The following is a 6,644-nucleotide window of genomic DNA, read 5'->3' on the forward strand; positions in this document are numbered from 1 at the left end:
CAGTGAGCCAAGATCGTGCCACTGCACTCCAGCCTGGGCAACAGAACGAGACTCCGTCTCCAAAGAAAAAAAAAAAAAAGAAAGAAAAAGAAAATAGTCTATAAGTCGATCATTTGGGCATATGGACTGCCCTATCAGCCTGAAATGGGTGCTCTCGATCTCTATGACAGCCTCACATCCATCATTTTCTGGAATTTTCCACTTCTCCTTTCCCTTTTGTTCTTGCTTCCTGAAAACATAGAAACCTTATAATGAAATAAAACAACTGACTTCACCACAAACACAGCCCCTTCAACTGGCTTCTTTCTTTACTATTGTATCTTTGATTTTTAGACATTTCAGCAACCCCCAAATCATCTTAACATTTCCCCTAAACTGGAAAAATAAAAAATAAAACACTCCACTGGGGAAAGAAGGGAAATTGTATGTTCTTTTGTTTACACGAGTGTACAGAAAATCATTACAGACCTCCATGTGGCCTTGGTGATTTTCCATTGTGATATTGAAAGAGAAATGGATAAACTGGAGTTTGCAACCAATCTCGAGGGACTGCTTTTCTATTTGGGTGACCCCTGAAAGGCTTCTGAGCATATAGTTATTTTTGAAGGAAAAGAGGAAAGGCTGAGGGGTGGCCACCATTACCAAGAGTTCACCCAGATGCTAACTTATTCTGATGTTTGCTTATTTTTATTTTTATTTAATCTGATGTTTTGATGCAATTGTTCGTATTTTGTGTTTGACCTTAAACCATTATAATTCATCTTGGGCATGCCAAGAGAGGCAATTGACTATTAGTGACCAGGAAGCAGCCTATTTTCTTAAAATGTGACCCAGCCATGTTCATTGAATTGATGTAAAGCAAGGTTAATCTGAGGGAGAGGTGGGTGGCACTGCTTTGATCTTAACTCTCTTTGATCATAATTTACTTCTCTGCTGCTTGGAATAGAAACATGTTTCCTCTTGCCCAAGGTTTCCACCAAGAGGCCTTTACACTTAGGGAAGAACTTGAGCCAAGTCCTGACCCGTGGATTCTGGATGCAAAATGTACAGACTCAGAATGAAGAATTGCTATCCTAAATTCTGAGCTGCATGAATTCTAGGTATGGTAGATGGAGCACTGAATTGGGAGTTGGTTGATGTAATCCTCCCACACACTCTAGGAAGGAAGTTGTTCTTATGCCCATTTTACAGATGGAGGTACCGAGACATGGAGAGTTGAACTAACTTGCCCAACCCAGTAAGTTGAGGAGCCTTGGATTCAAGTTCAGGGAATCTCCCTTCTCCCTGCAGAGATTGGAACCTTAATGACCAAGCCTAGAGGCTCTCCAGATCTTCTGTGTGACCTTGGGCCAAACTCCTCTCCTCTCTGGGCCCTGTTTCCTCTTCTCTAAAATAAGGAGACTTGGCTGGATAATTTCCAGGCCACCCTTTCTGGCATTGACTACATACAAAATTTTGTGATGTTCCCAAAAGTCCAACAGGCAACCTGACTGTCATAGGTGATCCTGGTCAGATTTGATCTCCAGAGTCTGAAGAAAGAATTTAGCATGGATGGAGAGGAGTATTTAGCAAGTACCTGCTCTGTGTGCTACACGTTTCATGCATGTACTTCATGTTCATTCAATCGCCGCCACAATGTGATGAGGCCGGTCCTGTTATCCCCCTTTTACAGATGGGGAAACTGAAGATCAGAGTGAGGATGTGGCTTGTCCACATACCTGAGGAGTGGTGGATCCAGGATTAGCCTCCAGTACCCCATAGTACCCCCGTAAGAGCATCCCTCATCAGAGCATGCTTGGTAATCTCCTGTTTATCTAGCTGTGTCCAGTCTAGACCATGAGTTCTGAGTAGCAGGGACTGTATTTTAGGCTTTGTATCTCCAGGTGCCAGCACAAGGTCTGGCCCACAAGAGATGATCATTGAGCATTGTTGAATGAATCCATGAATGAACAGATGAATGAATGGAACACTCCAGAGCTCATGCCATCCCCTGCACTAACTGCACGGGATGGTCTCTGTGGGAAGAAAAAGAGGGGTGTGGGGAGACAGGCTCAGATGGAATCCTCAGTTATGTGACTAACGGCTTTGTCTCATTCAGTTCCTAGGCCCAGATGTCCACCCTCCTTCACGAGCTCAGAATTGAGCTCGTATCGCCAACATGTTTTGCGGAAATGCTCATATCAACACTTGGTGAACCAGGAAGACTGTACCCTCATTCCTTTCTCCTGCTGCCTGCTAGGTTGAGTTAGAAAGCTTACTCTCGAGTTTTACTGGCTTGCTTGTGCTTTTTGGCATTTTCAAAATTTTGTACAATGATCTTCAAAAAGCAAAAATACATTAATTTTTTTAAAGGTAGGATCCATATGAGATTGGATCTTCATCTTCTAACACTTTGGAGAACAGAAAAGTGGTATTTGGAGATATAATCTTCATAAGAATTGTGGCACTGAATAAAAGAGCACTGGAAGAGGAAAGAAACATAAAGGAAAGAAAGGAAAAGAAAAGACCAAAAGAAAAGCAAGGCTCCACTTGCAAATGAGAGAGCAACTTGGAAAACCTGCCACTCACTACCACTGATGCCCACAAGAGGGCGTCTCAGGGTCATCCGGAAGGCAAAACTCAAGTCCAAGATCCGCTTCCCAGCAGCTGGAAATGACCAATGAGTAGGTTCTGGAATATCAGCAATGACCCTGGCTCTCCAGCACTTTACAGTTTACATTAGACTCTCCTCCCCGACGTCATTTGCACCTCCCAAGGCCAGTTCTCCCGGTGGTTTCCAGCCCTGGGGCGTTTGTGGTTCTCTCTGCCTAGTGGGATGCAACTGGCATTTAGTGTTTGTCCGTATGTGGGTGTGGCTGGGGAGGGCAGAGAGGCAAACAGCCCCGCACAAGCTGTACAGTCCCCCTCATCAAGATGTGGCACTCCCTCTTTGCCAATAGCAACTCCTTTTTGAAACACTGGGCCTGAAGCAATCATCTTGAAGACATTTTTCATCAATCTTGTTGAAATCAACCTGGTTTTTCAAAATAGAGGAAGCACATCAATGAACAGACAGCCTTGCCCCATTTCTTCTGGGAAGAGTCACAGGAGGGCCTGCAGTGGGCAGGCAGGGACCGTGTCTTTTCTCTACCACACTGGGAAGGGAGGGAAGGGGGGCAACTTGGCTGAAACCCACAATGGGCACTTAGCATATGTTGTCACTTTTAGGGCCCACAACAACCTAGGAGGGAGATATCAATTATCCTCATTTTACAGATAGGAAGACAGAGGCTCAGAGACGTTCAGCCATCTGCCTGATGCCACCCAGCTTTTCAGAAACACATAGAATCAAGATTTTTTTTTTTTTGAGACTGAGTTTTGCTCTTGTTGCCCAGGCTGGAGTGCAATGGGGCGATCTCAGCTCGCTGCAACCTCCACCTCCTGGGTTCAAGCGATTCTCCTGCCTCAGCCTCCTGAGTAGCTGGGATTACAGGCGCCCACCACCACGCCCAGCTAATTTTTTTATTTTTAGTAGAGATGGGGTTTCACCATGTTGGCCAGGCTGGTCTCAAACTCCTGACCTCGTGTTCCGCCCACCTCGGCCTCCCAAAGTGCTGGGATTACAGGCGTGAGCCACCATGCCCAGCCAGAATCAAGATTTTTAACCCCAGAAAGGCCCAGGCTCCCCCAGCCCCACCACGGCTTCTATTGAGGCAGATACCAGCTTGGAGGTGGTTTTCCGAGAAGCCGTGAAAAACTGGGGTGGGCTGGGCTCAGGCTGTGACTCAGGGGGCCAAATTACCCCCTCCAGAATTCTAGCAGGCTGCGGGGAGGCCCATCTCTGGTTCAAATGTTCTGCGAGCTAGTGCATGAAATCTGTTCTTTTCCCCATTAATGCTTGCTGTACTTACACTTCTTACTATAATTACTCTGCAGTAATTAACAAGGGAAAATAACACATCTGGGTCTATACTTCGGCTCCAAACAGATGTACAAGATGCAGAGGCATGCAGAGGTCCTTTCACTTATTCGGCAAATCTGGATGGAGCATCTACTATGCACCAGCCTGCTGAACTGCAGGTGTCCCTCAGTGAGCCAGGGAGCACAGCCCCTGCTGGGCATGAAGGCGGAGTCTTTGGCAGGAGGAAGGGGAAGTGCCAAGGCCCTGGGGTAGGAATGGGTTTATCATGTTTTGAGAAGCTCCAAAGGCCAGTGTGACTGAAGCAGAATGTATGGTTAGTGCAGGTGGGAGACAGGTCAGGGAAGGGGTGGAAAAAGACCTTGGAGGGCTCTGGAAGGCACCAGAAAGCAGCTGGATGGAATGCAGTGGGAAGCCCACTGGAAGGGATGAGGCAGGGTCATGGTAGACTCTGATTTTGTCTATTTCAAAAGGGACTGGGGCTGCCCTTTATATCTGTGTGAATAATCTGTATGGGGGAGGACAAGAGAAGAAGCCAGGAGACCAGTTGGAGTGGGCATGGTAGAAGCAGAAAGGATGAATTTGGTGCATATTTTGGAGTTAATGTCCATGGGATTCACTGATGGATTGAATGTGGAGGTGGGAAATAGGAATGAAGGGACACTTGGTCAAGGTGTGACAGTGCTATAGCTGTGAGTCGCAGTCATCTGGAAATGCATTCATTCATTTATTCACTTATTTAGCAAAGACTGAAGGCCTGCTACATGCCAGGCCCTGTGCGAAGCACTGGGGATAGATCAGTGAGCGACAGCCACTGTGGTCCCTGCCCTCAGACACCACATGCAGAGTGCCAGACACGGCAGGAATGAAGCGGCAAACCGGGGGGAAGGAGGATGGAAGGTCCAGGGTCTCAAAGCTGCTAGGGTTGGGGTGGTGGGCAGGGAGGTTTCCCTGAGGAAGTGAGAGCTCCCCAGCTCCCCTGAGATCTGAACAATTGGTGGGGGAAAGGGAAAGGGTGTTCATGGAGGTATTGTGATGACCAGAGGAGGCAGCAGTGTTTTTTTATTTTTATTTTTATTTTTATATTTTTTTCTAGAGACAGGGTCCCACTCTGTCACCCAGGCTGGAGTGCAGTGGTGCCATCAGGGCTCACTGTTACCTCAAACTCCTGGGTTCAAGCAACCCTCCCACTTCACCCTCTTGAGTAGCCGGGACTACAGGCATGTACCACTGTGCCTGGCTATTTTTTTTTTCTTAAAAAAATTATTTTTCAGAGAGGGCGGTTCTTGCTATGTTGCCAAGGCTGTTCCTGAACTCCTGGTCTCAAGCTATTACAGGCATGTGCCCCATGACCAGCAGCACTGGTGTTTGAAGGGAGGCTCTAGTAGAGGCAGTGAGCGTTGTGACCTGCAAAGGAGGCTGGGGCTGTTCCACGTGGGCACAGAAGGCTCAGATACCTCCTCAGCAGTAGAAGCATCTCACAGCGGTGGAACAGGAGGACCAGCATTGATTTCCTGCATCTCAGATCCCTCTGCTTGCTGGGCAGAGACTGGATTGGAGATGACTATTGCAATAGAGAGAAGGGGACAGCCTGCAGATAGGCTTTGGGTTTCACACACAGGATTTGGTGATGGTTTGGCTGTCAGGAGGACAAGGAGAAAAGAGAGGGAGGAGTGGAGGGTGAGTCCTCTATTTCTTGCTTGAGCAACTGAGCAGTTGGAGAAACCATTTATTGAGGAAAGGAAGACTCAGGATTTTGGAGAAAAGATTAGGAACTCAAAATTTGATTGACATTTTGAGCAACAAACGAGAGTGAGGACAGAGAGAGATTCCTCAAGACTAAGGAGGGAGTCTGGGTCTGCAGATCCCATAGGTGCCTGGCTCCAGGTGGGACGGGCTGGAGTCAGCTTTTGTTTTGATTCTAGAAAAATAGTCATGCGGCGATATTTCTTGTATCTAGAGTTTCTGGAGTGAAGGTCACACCCACTGATATGGTTTGGCTGTGTCCCCACCCAAATCTCATCTTGTAGTTTCCATAATCCCCACATGTTGTGGGAGGGACCAGGTGGAGATGATTGAATCATGGAGGCTGTTTCCCCCATCCTGTTCTCGTGATAATAAGTTAGTTCTCATGAGATCTGATGGTTTCATAAGGAGCTTCCTCTTTCACTGGGCACTCAATTTTCTTCCTTCCTGCTGCCGGGTGAAGAAGGATGTGTTTGCTTCCCCTTCTGCCATGATTGTAAGTTTCCTGAGGCCTCCCCAGCCAGGCCAAACTGTGAGTCCATTGAACCTCTTTCCTTTATAAATTACCCGGTCTCGGGTATGTCTTTATTAGCAGCTTGAAAACAGACTAATACACCCACCATACACATATATATGCATAAAACACTCTGGGAGGCTCCAAACCACAACCTCTTTCTCTCTGGGCGCTGAGGGTGGAGGGTGATATTTTTCTCTTCCTTTTGTTCTTTTTGTGTTTTCTCATTCTAGATTAAACATGGATTATTTATTTTCCTGTCTCTTTCCTCTTTTCTGTCCTCATCCTTGCAAAGGAACCCAAAGTTCCAGCCATATGGGCCTGGAACTGGGGTGTCCAGGAGAAAAAAGGCCACCCTGACTCCATGGAGCACTCCTGTTGCACAGAATTCTGGGACCTGGTTTGACCAGACTTGGACAAGCCCCCACTCTGCCCCCAGCTAGGAGGGGTCCTTGAACATCTTTTCTTCAATTTGCAATTGCGTTG

The 6,644-nt window shown here is 47.0% G+C and overlaps 1 long non-coding RNA gene across 1 annotated transcript in view; it reads left to right on the plus strand.

The window, feature by feature from the left end:
* LOC105376223 (uncharacterized) overlaps window positions 1-6,410 on the plus strand; it is a 38,343-nt gene extending 31,933 nt beyond the window's left edge. The window contains exon 3 of the long non-coding RNA XR_930254.3: window positions 2,099-6,410. This is a non-coding gene — a long non-coding RNA (uncharacterized LOC105376223). The remainder of the gene's footprint in view (window positions 1-2,098) is intronic.
* The last annotated feature ends 234 nt before the right edge of the window (window positions 6,411-6,644 follow it).

The sequence above is a fragment of the Homo sapiens genome, chromosome 9, assembly GCF_000001405.40.
Source record: "Homo sapiens chromosome 9, GRCh38.p14 Primary Assembly".
NCBI classification, from domain to species: domain Eukaryota; kingdom Metazoa; phylum Chordata; class Mammalia; order Primates; family Hominidae; genus Homo; species Homo sapiens.